A 16,873-nucleotide genomic window follows, 5' to 3' on the forward strand; every position below is an offset into this window, starting at 1 on the left:
CTGTGTGTGAAGACCCAGTCTGACTTCTGCTCTACACCTGGTCCCTTTAAACCTATTGTCACATGGGAGAAGACACCCTCCAGGGTACATGTTCAAGCTGGTTAGGGGGCAGAGGGCTGGGCCTTGGGCCGTGCATGGTGGGCATGTGACCCCTGTGGTTTCCCTGCACGGCTGAGTGAGCACTCAGGGGCTGTGGCGCTGGCTGCAGGGTCACGGGCTTGGCACCTTGTTCCACTGGTCTAACCCCAGACAAGCCCACAGGAGACAGCTTGGAGTGGCTGAATATTTGAGAAAAAGAAAATCTGGCTTCTATCCCAGCTCTGCCACTAATTATTCACATCAGTATTTGGGAAAGTCCCAGGACCTCACCAGGCAGAACTCCTGCAGCAGTAAAATGAAGACAGTTAGCTAGCTGGCACCTCACAAATCTTTCCTGGAACAGAGCCCCACCTGAGGCAGAGGAAAGCCAAGTTGCATCCTGAGTTGTCTCCTCGGAATTGAAACTGTCTTCGAAGACGTCGTGTTATCTCTGAAGGCTGTGGAATACAGTCATCCTGTTCCATAAACTGTCCATGTTTGCTTTAAAATAAAAAGAAAAGCTTGGCCCCATGACCTTGACGCTGAGAAGACATCCAGTTTGGTGGCTTGTGGTGGGGTTTCCCCAGGCTGGCCCCACACTGCCCCAGGCTCTTTCAGCCCAGCCCTTCTGTCCCTCCCCTTGGGACAAGGGGTTGAAGGGGAGGGTCAAGGGCTCAACAAATGTCCCATCCTCCACTCTAGTCTGTAACTTAGGGGTCAAGAGGATGACTCCCCGGTACAAGTCCCAGCTCTGTCGCCACTGGCTGTGTGACCTCGGGCAAGTCACTTAACCTCTCTGTGCCTCTTTTTCCTCCCACAGAAAACAGAGACAATAATGACATCCACTCAGAGAGTTGTGAAGCTTAAATGAGCTGCTATGCAACACTCTTAGAACCAAGCTGGCAGGTGAGAACGTTCAGTAAGTGTGATGTGCGTTTTGGTTCCTTCTTCCTCCAAAATCTCTTTCCCTCCTTCCTCCCCTGTGATCACCGCTGCCTTTAAACTCAAAGAGTCATTTCTCTTCCATTTTTATTTTACCTTTCCCCAATTTTCTTCTCTCCTTACTTTCTCTCCCTCTTTTTTGTTCTATTTGTGATGTGAAAATGATCCCCGGGGCTGGCGCTCTATATGGAAAGCCTCAAGGTCACACGCCCTTGACTACTGGGCCCCAAGTCCAGGAACATGGCCTTCCCAGTCATCAGGAGCTCACCTCGAACACTGCGTGCAGCGTGGGGGCACGTCGGTGAGAGAGAGGGGGTGAGAGGGAGGGGTGGGCACGTCGGTGAGAGGGAGGGGGTGAGAGGGAGGGGTGACCTCCTCCGGGAAGCTTCCTTTCTAGGGAGATGCAGGGAATTGGGGGTGGGCAATACTCAGAGATCATCAAAATATACCACTAAGTAATGTATATGTTCGTATGTCGTGCGGCTCCTGTGTGCCATGGAGGCTTGGCACACATTGTCTCTAAGTGGGCTGCACTACATACGACAATATACATTAAAACAATATTTTAGCCCTGAAAATCCTTATTTCTGTGTGTAGAATATCACTCTCCTGGGGGGGCCTGGAGCGCCCCCTTCCTTCACCCATCTCCCAGCAGCCCCTTAGCTCCCCAGCCCCAATAGAGACTAAGTGGTGGTGGTAGGGGGGCGGGTGTTCACTCTGTGCTGTCAAGTGAGGGGTGCAGGACCCAAACCCGTACACTTTGCCTCATGCTTTAAAACAGCGCATACTGCCTGCAGCCAACACTGAAAAGACACCAGCCTGTTACAAGAGATTTTCTCTGGATGTTGGAATTACAGGGTCGATTAGGCTTTTCTCTGTCTTTTGAAGTTTCAGGACATTTCAGGAGGAATATGTATATATAGGTTTTGTATAAAGAACCAGAGCCAGTGAGTTCATACCCACAGCGCTGACACCGCCATGGCAGCTGGGACGCCGTAACGGGGGTGAGCCTGGGGTCTCTTGGCTGTCTTGGAGCACCACAGGCTGGAGGCATGGAGGGGGACAATATGCAGAGCCTGGGACCAAAGGGTAGAAACGGTGGACTTTACCACAGGGGCCAAGGGGCCAATAGGGGTGATGCAGGGAGGGCGGGCCATCCCCTTGGGCACAGCGTGGCTACATGGGCAGTGGCACTCAAGAGCCAAGGAAGGAAGACCAGGAGAAAAGGAGGGAATAGTGGGCAGCCCCCAGGGGAGCACTGCCAGCCTGCATGGGGTGACGTCAGAGACCCAGTTGTGGGGCCCCCTCGAGGCCTGCCCTGCCGTGACGACCTTTGAGCATAGTCTGCTCTGCAGTTCCCTTAAGGACTCAGCAAAGAGGCTGCAGCAACCTCCCCAATGTGAGAGGCTCCCACTCGGCTCTAAACTAGAGTCTTTCCCCCGGCCCCATCCCACCCCTCCAAGAACCTCCTTCTCCCCGCAGAGCCAAAACTCCCCAAGATGCCATCCATGCTCCTTGTTTCATGCGCCCCCCAGTGCAAAAACTGGAGCAACAGTCCAGGTTTTGGAATTTGCCCTGTTTGAGTCTTTTTCTCTTTTTTTCTTTTTCTGTTTTTTGTTTTTTGTTTTTTGTTTTTTTGGGTCAGAGTCGCTCCCTGTCACCCAGGCTGGAGTGCAGTGGTGCAATCTTGGCTCACTGCAAACTCCGCCTCCCGGGTTCAAGCAATTCTTCAGCCTCAGCCTCCCAAGTAGCTGGGATTACAGGTGCGTGCCACCACGCCCAGCTAATTTTTATATTTTTAGTAGAGACAGGGTTTCACCTTGCTGGTCAGGCTGGTCTTGAACTCCTGACATCAGGTGATCCACCCGCCTCAGCCTCCCAAAGTGTTGGGATTATAGGTGTGAGCCACCGCACCCAGCCTGAGTCTTTTCTTTCTTTCTTTCTTTCTCTTTCTTTCTTTCTTTTCTTTCTTTCTTTCTTTCTTTCTTTCTTTCTTTCTTTCTTTCTTTCTTTCTTTCTTTCTTTCTTTCTGTTTCTTTCTTTCTCTTTCTTTCTTTCTTTGTCTTTCTTTCTTTCTTTGTCTTTCTTTCTCTCTCTCTTCTTTCTTCTTTCTTTCTTTTTTTTTCTCATTTCTTCTTTTTCATGTTGGACAGATAATGTGCCCAGCAGCAAGGCTTGAGGGAGGCATGTCCCACCCAGGAGGATGAAAGCCCAGTCATCCTGCTGATGTGTCACAGGGAATCTGAGCATTTCCATCCCCAGCTCCCTGCTTTCCGGTCTGCAGTCCCCTCCCTGGGAGCTAGGGCAACCTTCCTTCTTTCTCGTCTCCTCCCACCCGACCAGGGTCCTGGCTTCTGAGTGAGGGAAGCTCTAGAATCCCTTTAGGCCAGTGCGGGACGAGCCATATGATTGATTCAAGGGGACCCAGTTCAACGCGAACATGCGGGTCCCTTGTTCAAAAAGCATCAAGACTTTGTCAACGGCAGCAGCCTCGCGTTGAGCCCAGTGCCCAGTGCCGGCTCCCAGCCCAGGAGGTTGACCTCAGGCCAGGAGCTGACCCTAAAGGAACAGGGAAGAGAGGGATTCAGCTGCCTTGGGGACTGGGGTGTCCCAAACGAGTGAAGACCAGCTGTGCCTGCCAGTTCAGAGCAGGCACAGCATAATCGCCCCGGGAGTGGAGGCCGCAGCAGGATTTGGACCGGGTCTGGAGGTTGTTTTCCTCCATCTGCAAATGAGGAATGTGAGGCCAAGGATAAAGTTAAGTTGGTGCAAAAGTCATTGTGGTTTTTGCATTAACGTAATAAAAGCTACAGCCATCAATTGTTGACAGCCAGGCCTCATGTTTTCTTTGTAACCCACAACCCTATTGAGGGCTGCTCCCGTTATCCCATTTTACAGATGAGGAAACTGAGTGGCTACGAGTTTCCACTCCCAGAAAGAGACGGAGCTGGGTTAGAACCTGGCTCCAGGCTGACTCTGAAGCTGGTGGTACCGCCTTCCACTGCGGTGACCTTCCAGACTCCCATTCACAATCTCTTCCCCTCGTCAGCCCAGCCCCTTTCCTAGGCTACAGGCAAGCTCGGGCTGCTCACGCAAGGCCTGCGGGCAAAGACTGGAGGTGCCAGGCTCCAAGTGGGCAGTGGGGCTGGGATGGAGCTGTGTGCAGGGCGCATGTCCAAAGCCCCTGTACAGTGGCTGGGGGCCAGCCTCAGGCCCAGCCGGCCGTGGGTGAGCAGAGCAGGCTGCCCTTGCACACAGAGCCCTGTAACCTGATGGAGCAGACTGCTCTTGCACAAAGGGCCCTGCAACCTGAGCCTGTTGACTTTGGGGAGGAGCCCAAGGGAGCCGAGGCCTCTGGGCGCACACACTGCCGGCAGGGGTTAAAAGCAAGCTGGCCCGGATTTGAAGCGTGTGGAAGCCTGACCTGAGATACGGGGAGAAGACACCAGCAGCCCCGGGCTTTGTTCTTGGGATGTTTTGGATTGGGATTTCTCAGTCTCCAGTTAAGGAAGTGTGGGGCTCTGTACGCTTGAGGTTTCACAGCTATTCCCTGAGAGGGTGTCCGTTCTCCTCCTCGCCTTCCCCTGGAACATCTCTGGTTTTTGCAAATGGCCCCATGTGCTGAGGGGTGAGGCGGGCACTGGCTCTCTCCCTGTGTGCAGGCGTCTTCCCCACTGTCGCAGGCTGAATGGTGGCCCCAAAAAGACACATCCAAGTCCTAAGCCCCGGTATCTTGGAGGTGACCTTATTTGGGAGCAGGGCCTTTACAGATGGAATCAAGGTGAGGTGAGGTCAGACCTGAGTAGGGTGGGCGCTAAGTCCAAAGACTCCGGAGAAGCGACAGACACAGAGACAGGAGAAAGGCACGTGAAGGTGGAGGCAGAGACTGCAGTGAGGCAGCCCACGAGCCAGGGATTACAGGCGTGAGCCACCGCGCCCCGCTGAGAACTGCTTTTTAAACAGCCAACTGGGGCCAGACGTGGTGGATCATGCCTGTAATCCCAGCACTTTGGGAGGCCAAGACCGGCAGATCACCTAAGGTCAGGAGTTTGAGACCAGCCTGGCCAAGATGGTGAAACCCCGTCTCTACTAAAAATACAAAAATTAGCCAGGCGTGGTGGTGGGCACCTGTAATCCCAGCTGCTAGGGAGGCTGAGGCAGGAGAATCGCTTGAACCCCAGAGGCGGTTGTTGCAGCCAGCTGAGACTGTGCCGTTGCACTCCAGCCTAGGTGACAAAGCAAGACTCAGTCTCAAAAAATAAATAAATAAAGATAAAGTAAAATTAAAAAGCCTACTGGCCCTTTCTGTTCCCAGGAGTCCTTCCCTTTTACCCTGCCAGTACTGTACTTGCTGCCAACATCCTGTGGAACGTGGTGACATTAGCAAAAGAAGAGAGATGGGGCACACCCTGCACTAGTCGGCTCACCAGGCCTGCAGGAGACCCAGGTCCTTCCTCATCTGCACCCCTGTAGTTCCTCCCAACACACCGAGATGGGTTGTGGAGGGACCATGGGTCCAGCAAGGCTGAAGAGCGGCCTTGGCAAGTACCTTTGTTCTTCCAGGACACAGGAAAACAGGCTAGAATAGGACTGTGTAAGAGACCCTTTTTGCAAACAGCAACATTGACAAAGGTAGGGCAGTCCTGCCTGTCCTATTTTGCCTTTTCTCAAACATAAGGATTCCCTGTTGTCATGGATCAAATAGTGTTCCCCTAAATTTCGTGTCCACCCAGAACCTCATAATGTGACCGTTTTGGAAATGGGGTCTACGCAGATGCAGTTGTTTAAAGTCCTGGAGAGGAGATCATCCTGGAATACCCACATGGGCCTTGAATCCAAAGACTGGTGTTCTCATAAGAAGAGAGGACACAGCGAGACAGACAGCCATGTGAGGAGGCAGGCAGAGACGGGAAGGCTGCAACCACACACCAAGAATGCTGGGGACTGCCAGCTACCACCACCAGCGGGGAGAGAGGCTAGGGGTGGTCTCTCCCTCGGAGCTCTGAGAAGGCACCAACCCTGCCAACACCCTGATTTTAGGATTTTGGCCTCTAGAATGATGAGATACTAGTTGTTAATTGTTGTTTGAAGCTATAACGTGTTTGATATTCTGCCATGGCAGTCCTAGGGGCCTAACACACTTTGGCATTCTGTCTGGCAGGAGATCCCAGTCACCCCCTACTTTTAAAGCCCTGTGATCATAGGGTGTCAGAGGAGCAGCGTGTCTTGGAGAACTGCTAGTCCAGAGTCCCTGTCCTGTGTTCCATGACACCCAATGTCCCTTAAGAGGGAAAGAGGTTGGCTCATGCCTGTAATCCCAGCACTTTGGGAGGCCAAGACAAGCAGATCACAAGGTCAGGAGACCGAGACTATCCCGGCTAACATGGTGAAATCCCATCTGTACTAAAAATACAAAAAAAAAAAAAAAAATAGCTGAGCATGGTGGCAGGCGCCTGTAGTCCCAGCTACTTGGGAGGCTGAGTCAGGAGAATGGCGTGAACCCAGGAGGTGGAGCTTGCAGTGAGCCGAGATCATGTCACTGCACTCCAGCCTGGTGACAGAGCGAGACTCCGTCTCAAAAAAAAAAAAAAAAATGGGAAGAGGTGCCCCGTGAGAAAACATTCCAGGTTCAGTAAGGTGGGGACCACCTCGTATCAGCTCTCTGCTGTAGGGAAATTTATACCAGCACATCACAGGGTCTGAGACGTCCTTGAGGAAGTGAAAACACCAAAGCCAGAGGTTTTCAGGACAGAGTTCCAACATAGGATCTTTTCTTTAACGCCCACTAATGTACCAAAGACAAAGAGCCATGAGCGTATCTAGGGAGAACCGAGCGTGTCCGTCCGTGCTCGCACTGCTATAAAGAAATACCTGAGACTGGATAGTTTATAAAGAAAAGAGGTTTCATGGGCTCACGGTTCCACAGGCTGTACGGGAAGCATGGCAGCCTCTGCTCAGCTTCTGCGGAGGCCTCAGGAAACTGACAATCATGGCAGAAGGCAAAGGGGACCCTGTACGTCACATGACAGGGAAGGAGAAAGAGAGAGCAGGGGCAGGTGCCACACCCTTTTAAACAACCAGATCTCAGGAGAACTCTGTCACGAGAGCAGCACTTGGGGATGTTGCTAACCCTTTCATGGGAAACCACCCTCTCGATCCAATCACCTCCCACCAGGCCCCACCTCCAACACTGGGATTACAATTCAACATGAGATTTGGGCAGGACACAGATCCAAACCATATCACTGAGCTAGTCCAACATGCTCAATGACTGATGTTGAAACCAGCCAGGCAGAAGCAACTCACTCTAAGTCCCACCGTGGGTTCTAGAACTCTGGTCTCTCGATGCTGGTCCACACTGTAATATACTGGGAAAAAAAGGAACACTGGGATGAATATCTGGAAGATCTGAGTTAAAGTCATTTATTCCTTTTTTCAGCACAAAGGTGAGCTTCATGCAATGGTATAGGATTTAAATATGGGGAGAAGGATATGATGGTAAATTTCATGGCCGTTTCTATCCAGAACTATTTTTCTGGGCACCTGTTATTCCTTGGTGGAGTGGTTGTCTTTCTAGGTCAGGAAGAGAGAACGTGGCCCAGCCAGGCCCAGAGCATGGCTGTGCTGCCAGATCCTGGGCCACGAGCCTCTTGTGGCACCTTGTATGTGAGACGTGGCTGGTCTGATGGAAATGTGCCTTCGGTGTGAGGTGCACACTGGCTTCTAAAGGCTTAGTGCAGAACAAAGGCCGTCAAATGTCTCATTAATAGTTTCTATATTGTTACATGTTGAGATCATGATATTTTGGATATATACGGTTAAATAAAATACATCATTCAAGTTAATTTTACTCGTTTCTTTTTACTTTTTTTTTTAGATGGAGTCTCACTCTGTCTCTCAGGCTGGAGTGCAGTGGTGCAATCTCAGCTCACTGCAACAACCTCTACCTCCCAGGTTCAAATGATTTTCCCACCTCTGCCTCCCAAGTAGCTGGTATTACAGGCGCGCACCACCACGCCCAGCTAATTTTTGTATTTTTAGGCAAGACTGGATTTCACCATGTTGGCCAGGCTGATCTCGAACTCCTGACCTCAAATGATCCACCGGCCTCGGCCTCCCAAAGTGCTGGGATTATAGGTGTGAGACACCGCACCTGGCCTCTTTTTACTTTTTTTAAAGGTGGCTCCTAGGAAGTGCAGCACTGCCGCCGTAGCTGCTGTCTGTGGCCCCAACATGTTTTTGTCAGGCAGTGCTGTTGCCTGGGTTCAGGTTTCCTAACAGGCTTGACAAGGTAGGAAGGAGGGGACTCACCTTGGCACCCTTCAAGGACCCCACACAGAAGAAAGATTTCACCTTGCCCGGCCTGGAAGACTTAAGGTGCACGTTCCCAAAGAGGCTTCTTCATGGTGTTCACATTTGGGTACCAGGCCTAGAATGGGGCCACTCTAAGAGAGGCAGTTAATTAATGTGTCTCCAGTTAAGATGGCCTGGAAGGGAGGGGGCAGGCAAGAAACAAAATTCCCATTCCTCTTCTCTCTCCACTCAGATACAGCATGTGAAACAGGTGTGGTCCATATCAGATGCAGTACACTGGGCAGGGTCTAACAGGATAAGAGTTTCACGCAGGACACGACAGCATTCATGGCCCACAAAAGCTTTGGGTTGACGACCGTTGGGGAACAAATCTCGTTAATCTTCCAGTCTCCTGCAACTGGTAGAAGCAGATCTGTGTGCTGCACTTGGTGGGCGGAAGGCTGTCGAGCCATTGAAGGAGAAGGACTGTCTTCAGGCTGTTGAGGCCCCTGTCTGGCCTCGTGCAGCATGGAGGGTGTAGTAACGGGTCCCCAAATGCCTGCCGATAGGAGGCAGTTTGTCAGGTGTTTCATATGCTAGAACAAGCTCTGCTTATTGCCTGTGCAATCGCACTTACTGCCCTAAAGACCTGGGAATAAGTTGAAGAGCCTCTTGCGATTGCAATCTAACCTTCTTTTATGGAGTAAGACATTTTCTTGAGCTGTTAAAGATTTAGGTGTACAGCCCTGTCCAGCCAACGCCGGCTGCTAGGAAGCAGGGCAGTGAGAGCAGAAAGGGGAGACATAGCACTTTCAGCCAGCAGGGGACAGTGTGGTACACGTCTACGTGTCCAGTCCCCTAGGTCCTCGGTCCCCTAGCAGATAGAAGGTCCAGACCAACCGCCACAGTTGTGTATTGAGAAAGTCTGGGGGGTGCTTGGGGAGTTTGATTGTTACTTTCTTAGAGGCGATTGTCAATGGTAGAAGGAACACAAGGACTTCAGGTGATTTAAATCCTCTGCTTTCTAAAAAGGATTGATTCCCTGTTTCATGGTCCAAATTACAGGAATGCGCTGAGAACTCCTCATGGGAGGATGTTAACAGTCTTGTGCAATATAAAGGGTCATTAGAAAGTAAAAAAGGAGGCCGGGCGCGGTGGCTCACGCCTTTAATCCCAGCACTTTGGGAGGCCGAGGCGGCTGGATCAGGAGGTCAGGAGTTCGAGACCAGTCTGGCCAACAAAGTAAACCTGGTCTCTATTAAACATACAAAAAAATTGGCTGAGTGTGCTGGTGTGCGCCTGTAATCCCAGCTACTTGGGAGGCTGAGGCTGAAGAATCACTTGAACCCGGGAGGGGGAGGTTGCGGTGAGCCGAGATCGCGCCATTGCACTGCAGCCTGGGCAACAAGAGCGAAACTCCGTCTCAAAAAGAAAAAAAGAAAGAAAAAGAAAAGAAAGTAAAAAAGGAGAGATAACAGGATGGGGGCAGTAAGCCAGGAGCAAAGAGAAAAAATGAGAATGGGGTTCATGAGTTAAGGAGGGAATTAAGGTGCATGCAATAAATTATAAATTATACAAAAGTAAGTTGTTGTAGGTGAGCCACCTCAAGAAGAAAGGTCTTAAGTGTAATTCCAGGTCGTGAGAGCTGGACAGTCCCTGTTAGCTTTGCCAGGATGGATGTCTGCTGGGACATCTCAGAAACTTCTCCGAGGCCTGTCTGTTTACTTTTGTTTATATTTGTCTAATTATCTTTGTTTAGTGAGTATTACAAAAGCATGACTTACAAGACAATGTCTTCCCTCCTCTCCCAGGGAATCCGCCCTTGCAGCGTTTGTGGGTAGCCAAGGCTCAGCTGACCACTGCAGACAGCCTCCACCTCCCATACAGAACATACTCCTGAGCAAACAGGTGCAACCACTGAAGCCCACACCACATCCAGAGAGTTGTTTAAAAAGAGAAGACTCAGAATTCTCACTCACCTTTTAGATGCCATTCTCTCAGATACAGCAGCTTCATCCCTTTCTTTCCTTCTGGGCTTCCCCTTCTGAACAGCCTCCTGTGCTGGTGTTGAAGCCCAAGGAGCGACCTCTCGAGGGTGCTCAATGGGTGTCCTTCTGCCTCAGGATTCCACTTGTGCCTTAAGTGTATACGACGGTGTGTTTTATTGCACTGTGTTTTATATCACCTTAATTTTTCAATCACATCTGGAGGCACTCTGCGTCCTGTGCAAAGGGGGTTGGGAGTCTCAGTGTAAGGCGGAAGGTGCAATGGCCACAGGCAAGATGGAGGCCCTGGGCATGGCACCTTCTCTCCAGCTTTGGCAACAAGTGCCAGTTCCTCAAGACTGTGAGGTGCAGCCCAGCAGCTGGGGCTCCATCACATCAGTTACACATGGCAGCTGGGGCTCCACCACATACATGTTATGCATGGCAGTGGGGGCTCTGCCACCACATATTATGCGTGGACTGGTCTGGTTCTCTGCATTGTGAAGATGCACCGACATGCACTCATGACCGCTCACATCAACCGGAAGGTAAGTGTCTCTCTGTGATTCCTGTTTGCTAGAAACCAGCATATCCTGAGTGCAGGACAAACACCTGGGCTCAGAACTGAAGCTTCCAGAGGAGGGAGCTCTCTCCCCCGTCTTGACTGGTGTAGCCACACCTGCCACATCTGCCTAAGAAGGAGGTCATGCAGTCTGCTGTGGACATCCAGAAACACAGATCCTGAAGACAAGGCAACGCCCCTTCTCAGGGAATAAAGGGGGCAGGCGGTAGAACTCCCGACGCCCACCTCTCATCCCATTTAGACATGTGCTCAGTATCCTTAGGTATTCCTGAGGGTGACATGAACTGTTCTCTGCCTTTGTCTGGGGCATTGCAACAATAAAAGAGGCATTTTCTTTTCTTTTCTTAGCAAAACTGGCCCCTGCCAAATGCCTTGAGTTCAGTTGTTCAAATCCCTGCCTTCCTGAAGTGCTGAAGGGGCTGAGTGTGAGCAAAGCAAGGATTGGAGGTCGAGCTCTCTAGGGCTGCGGACATTTGGGAGAATATTTGGGTGGGAAGAATGAACAGCGTCACTCAGAACTAACGGCAGGGGGCAGTGTGGCTCCACAGTCCATCACAGGGCACCCCCCCGCCCCACCGACCCCGACAGTGCCCACAGCCCCTGCCATCCAACCAGGGCTGGGCCTCAGCCTGGGGGACAGCTTCTGTGTAGTTTGGTTCAGAATGTGTCCTCATAAGAAAGGCGGCACCTCCCAGATTCCTTCCCTGCCCTCTGCCGGGAAGTCTTACTGCCAAAACACCCAGGAATGTGTGTCTGCCTCCAGCAACTTTAGCTGCAGGGGCTGGACCTGGCTTTGATGCTGCGGCAGCTGATGGGATCCTGGAGCACAGTGTGGGAAGCTGGCTCCTTAGGCCTGGGAACAAGCCCAGGCAACCGGGCTGGGACTCGCTCTGCCTGGCTGCCTCTCCTACAGCGTGCGTGAACGGGAGGCCAGGATGGCCACAGGCCCCAGGAAACGCAGATCTCATGGGAAGAGGTTGCAGTTTCAGCTTCTGGCTGTGGATGCTCCGGGCAATTTCATGCATTTCCATGAGTTCAGAGAATGGAAGCTCCCCTGGCCCCTCCCTACCACTCTTTGTAAATCAGCTCGCTCCTTCTGTTCATTCATCCGCTCATTCATCCATTCCGCACACGTGCCTTATTGAATCCCTGCTATGACCAGGCACAGGGTTAGATACTCCATGGAGACCAGACCAGTCTTAGCCTCTGCACTGATGAACTCAACCCAGAAGACACACGAAAAGATAAGCCACGGTGTGACGGGCGGACGACAGAGCCTGCGCCGAGACACGGGCACTTCAGCTTGATATGTGGAGAGTGTCGGCTGCAAACCTCCCTGGTCTCTGCCGCCAGACGCATGCCAAGATGGCCTGATTACACTGGGGAAATTTCGAATGGGCCATTGAAATGCGTGGTGTGATTGTTGCCATGGATTTTACGGTCTGGTGGCCTGTTCCGTGCTGGTCAGGCTGACGTCTGTGCTTGGCACAGCATGGTGAGAGACAGGCAGGTGTGGTTGATGCCTCTGGGAGGGAGCACATAATCCAGGAAAGGGGGCAGTAAACCAGGCGATGGGAACTGCAACGGAGCAGAGGCCACGGGAGAAGCCCCAGCGGGGAGCACACCTGAGAGGGACAGTGGGAGGAGCGAGGCCTGAAACCGGAGGAGGAGCAGCAGAGCCCCCACAGAGGACAGCGGAAAGGAGACCTGAGTGGGGAAGAGCTCGGCTCCTTCCAGTCCCCCAGGGACCCAGGTTGGGGCAGAGGGGCCATCGGGCCTGTAACCTTGCAGTGCCATCATGGCCCTGGGTAGAGTTTGGGTCTTATTCTAGGAAGCGTGGGGGCTTGGAATGTCCTGGATGCCACCTGTTTCCTGTGTGGCAGGCAGAGTGAAGACCCCACCATTCCACCAAGATGCCTCCACCCTAGCCCTATTCGCCGTGAGTGCATCATATCACATGCAGAGGGGAGTTGGGGTTGCAGGTGGAACTGGATTGGTGAACACCACCCTTAACCTAAGGAGGAGATCCTGGGGGATCCCGCAGGCCCAGAGTCCTCACAGTGTTCTTAAAAGGGAACTAGCAGCCAGAAGTGTGGCAGTGAGGACCTGATCCAACGTCATTGGCTTTGAAGAGGGAGGAAGGGCCCATGGGCCTAGAAATGAGGACAGCCCCTGGAAGCTGAGAAAGGCGAGGAACAGATTCTGCCCTGGATCCTCCAGGAGGAGCCGGCCCTAGGTCTTAGCCCAGTGAGACCCGTCACAGACTCCCGACCTCCAGCAATGCATTAAATATGCTGTTCATGCTGCTGAGTTTGTGGTCGTTTGCAGGAAGCTGATACACCCTGGCACAAACTCCTTCTCCTCATCTACACTTTAGCACAGAGCCGTTAAATAAATGCATGTGCCTATGAACAGGTGCATTCCAACAGCCCTCAGGCCCTGCGTGTGTGGGTGACGGTGGAGTGACAGGAATGCAAGACACAGAGTGGTCTGTGCAGCCTCCTCCCCCGCACTCAGTGCAGGGTGGGCAAGGGGGATGCTGGCGGGTCCACCGTGTCCAACAGGGAGCAGGCGGCATCTCTAGCCAGGCTCGGGGCCACAGTGGGGGAGTGGGGTTTCAGAGTGAGGCAGATCTGGATCTAAATCACCTTTACAGAATGGCTTTTGCCACATAAGGTCACATATTCACAAGTCCCAGAGATTAGAACAGGCACATTTTGGGGGCCATGATTCTGCTCATCCATATAGAGAACCCCCTTATTATTTTTCACAGGTAAATAGTATTTTATAGTGGGGGAGTTCTGTAAAGGTTTAGCTACTCCTCTATTAAGAATATTTGGCTTCTGGCCAGGGGCTCACATCTGTAATCCCAGCACTTTGGAAGGCTGAAGCCAGAAGATTATTTGAGGCCAGGAGTTTGAGACCAGACTGGGCAACATAGCAAGACACTGTACTTAAAAGATATTTTAAAGAATTTTTTTTAATTAGCCAAATGTGTTGGTGCGCACCTGTAGTCCCAGCTACTTGGGAGGCTAAGGTGAGAAGATTGCTTGAGTCAGTGAGTTCGAGGCTTCAGTGAGCTGTGACTCCTGCCATGGCACTCCAGCTCCAGCCTGGGCAACAGGGAAAGACCCTGTCTCAAAGAAAAGAAAAAGGAATATTTGGCTTCTTTCCAGTCTTTCACCATTATTTAAAATGCCACAAGAAATCATCTCATGCACAATATCATTTTGCACATGTGCAAACAGAGCTGGAGGGCAGATTCCCAGAAGCATAAGCGTCTGGTCAAAAGGTGGATATGCATTCATAGCTTTGCTGGAAATTGCCACTTTGCCTCCAATTTGTACTCTGCCAGCAATATGTGAAAGTATCTGTTTCCCCACTGCCTGCCTAAGGGAGTGTATGTCTCACTTTTGTGTTGTTGCCAATCCAGAAGAAGCATATTGCGTAGACTTTCATTTGAGACTCCATCTTTCTGTGTGGTTTGGCAGAAGACTGGGGGAACATTCTTATACTGGCTCTAAATGGAATGCAAGGATACTGCATTAACTTATGACTCAGTAAAGTAATTTATTTTGGGGAGCTAAAATAATCAGTTTGCTGCTTTCTCATGATTTTTAACTTGAAGCAACATGAAACTGGGAAAATAAAAATGGATAGCAAGACTTTTAGACAATGTCTGTTCAGTGATGTTTCAAACATATTTTTGGCAGGAACTAGAAATCAGTCCATGTAGCCCAAGAATGATGCCAATTCCATATTCTGTGTTGCTGATTATAAAGGAAGCAAAATGTTCCAGTAAGCAGATGCAAAAGCAGCCATCAGCTCTCAGATACAGGAGCAGATGAGCTGGAGACGTCCTCACGCGAGCACCGGCCGCTCTTCCCCATGCTGTGGGCAGCTTGCCTGTGGGAAAGGCCAAAGATTCCTTAAAAAGAGATTCAAATCTGCTCAAGTGCCAGGATAAGCATTTAATCAGGAGCCCAGCATCCTGCTCCCCAATGAGTGGGGAAGATTTTCTAGGCCTGGAAAGTTTTTAAGAGGTAATGTGCTATTCTTAGTCATAACAAATGAAAGACAACCCACATGTCCAGCCAGGCAGGATGGCCAATGGGCTGTTCAGTTGCCAGCTGCCTTCCCAGCCCTCCGGGACAGAGTCTCCTGTGATTCTGGCAGCATCCCCAGGACAGAGCCCTCAGGACCAAGGTAGAAAGCGCTTGGGCAGGGCAGTGGTCTCCCAGTCAGCAGGCAGACCTCCTGGGACCACGGGGTCAGATGTGGGGCCTGAATGACTCCTGAGTCACAGCCCTGTCCCCTCTGACATCTCCCACTCCAATGCCATGGTCTGGCCACGTGCCTTGGCTTCCCTTCCTACACTTCAGTGGTCTAAGAGGATAATTCCAAGAGCCCCTAATCTAGCTCTGGTCTGCCCCTCGTCTGAAGACTAGATTCCTCCACTCACTGCCTAATACACCTGGGCTCCATCCTGTGAATGAAGTAAGTTGTTCAGAGCTACAGTCAAAGCTGCGAGCGGGAATTCTCACAGCTCCTGGGATCTCTCACCAGTTCCAACAAACTTCCCACCTCTCCAAGTCAGACTAAGCCTGAGATGTGTAACCTTCAGCTTAGTCTGCCTTAAACCAGCATTTCCCAAGCTTACATTTAGAGATCCTCTTTTTAAAAAAATCCTGTGGACTCCTAAGTTTTTGTTAAAGTATTTTTATTTTACTGCTACTTGTATGTGTGGCAACACTAGAGGACTTACAAATATATTACGTTGATAGCTCTTTTAGTTTTTTGTTGTTTTGTTGTTTCTTTTCTTTTCTTTTCTTTTTAGAGACAGTCTTGCTTGTTGCCCAGGCTGGAGTGCAGTGGTGTGATCACAGCTCATTACAACCTCAATCACCTGGGCTCAAGTAAGCCTCCCATCTCAGCCTCCTGAGTAGCTGGGACCACAGGTGTGTGGCACATTACCCAGCCATGATAGGTCTTATGTAAATAAAAATCAAAGAGATTTATCAATGAAATTAGAATACAACACCAATACATTTCAAATTAACAATGTAAGCTTAATTTGATGGATTATGCTATTTTGTTAAAACTGAGTCACCAATGCTGGGTTCACATTTTTAAAATACCCATATTTGTGTTCTATATTTTACTTATAGATTTAGTCCTTTTGATTTTGAGAATAATGACCCTCTTTTGAGTGATGGTTGTTATTATTTCTCTTTTTTAACAAAGAGCTCAGTTTATCCTCTAATCTATTACTTTGATGATCCCGAGAATATGAGTCCACTCAAAAATATAATAAAAATTAACTTGTAGTAAGAAAATCTACACTGTATTTTTTTTCACTAGCCTTATTGTTAATGAGTTGCCGTGGTTTCTAGGAAGAGAGGCAGAATTTACATATGTCGCCTGTCCCTGTAGGAGAGTGGTTCCCCCTGCTGCAGTGCAGGGCAAGACTGTGGGGTCTGCTTTCCCCAAGCGTCATGTCAGGGTGACCAGGGCTTGTTTGATGTGGTAGGCTACACAGCCTTCATTGATTCATTTGGACCAGATGCCAACATGATCATGGCTACCCAGTGTGTGTTTTCCAGTGTTGATCCAGTGAAAGCAGAGTAATGAGGTTGCACGGTGTCCGACCACTGAAGAAGTTCACCCAACGGGTCCAATCATGTATGTAACACACACTCAAGCACATGCGCAGACACACACACACACACACACACACACAGTGTAAACACAGAATGAAAGCACTCAAGACAGCACCATGAGCCGGGCGCGGTGGCCCACGCCTGTAATCCCAGCATTTTGGGAGGCCAAGGCGGGTGGATCACCTGAGGTCGGGAGTTCAAGATCAGCCTGGCCAACATGGCAAAACCTCGTCTCTATTAAAAATACAAAAATTAGCCTGGCATGGTGGTGGTACACATCTGTAATCCCAACTATTCAAGAGGCTGAGGCAGGAGAATCGCTTGAACCAAGA

At 50.7% G+C, this 16,873-nt stretch overlaps 1 pseudogene, besides 4 other annotated features; it reads right to left on the minus strand.

Annotated features, from left to right (window-relative positions):
- Positions 3,012-3,888: an enhancer, noted in NCBI's record as "H3K27ac-H3K4me1 hESC enhancer chr21:43024594-43025470 (GRCh37/hg19 assembly coordinates)". NCBI's record gives its function as "activates a minimal SCP1, AML or CMV promoter by ChIP-STARR-seq in primed H9 embryonic stem cells {active_cell/tissue: H9 hESC(primed)}" and the evidence as "EXISTENCE:reporter gene assay evidence [ECO:0000049][PMID:30033119]".
- LOC124905060 (uncharacterized) lies at positions 3,164-3,261 on the minus strand (annotated as a pseudogene).
- Positions 3,889-4,764: an enhancer, noted in NCBI's record as "H3K27ac-H3K4me1 hESC enhancer chr21:43025471-43026346 (GRCh37/hg19 assembly coordinates)". NCBI's record gives its function as "activates a minimal SCP1, AML or CMV promoter by ChIP-STARR-seq in primed H9 embryonic stem cells {active_cell/tissue: H9 hESC(primed)}" and the evidence as "EXISTENCE:reporter gene assay evidence [ECO:0000049][PMID:30033119]".
- Positions 9,047-9,341: an enhancer, noted in NCBI's record as "tiled region #1599; K562 Activating DNase unmatched - State 12:CtcfO". NCBI's record gives its function as "activates a minimal TATA promoter and a strong SV40 promoter by Sharpr-MPRA in K562 cells {active_cell/tissue: K562}" and the evidence as "EXISTENCE:reporter gene assay evidence [ECO:0000049][PMID:27701403]".
- Positions 11,183-11,846: an enhancer, noted in NCBI's record as "H3K4me1 hESC enhancer chr21:43032765-43033428 (GRCh37/hg19 assembly coordinates)". NCBI's record gives its function as "activates a minimal SCP1, AML or CMV promoter by ChIP-STARR-seq in naive H9 embryonic stem cells {active_cell/tissue: H9 hESC(naive)}" and the evidence as "EXISTENCE:reporter gene assay evidence [ECO:0000049][PMID:30033119]".

Source organism: Homo sapiens, chromosome 21 (genome assembly GCF_000001405.40).
Source record: "Homo sapiens chromosome 21, GRCh38.p14 Primary Assembly".
NCBI classification, from domain to species: domain Eukaryota; kingdom Metazoa; phylum Chordata; class Mammalia; order Primates; family Hominidae; genus Homo; species Homo sapiens.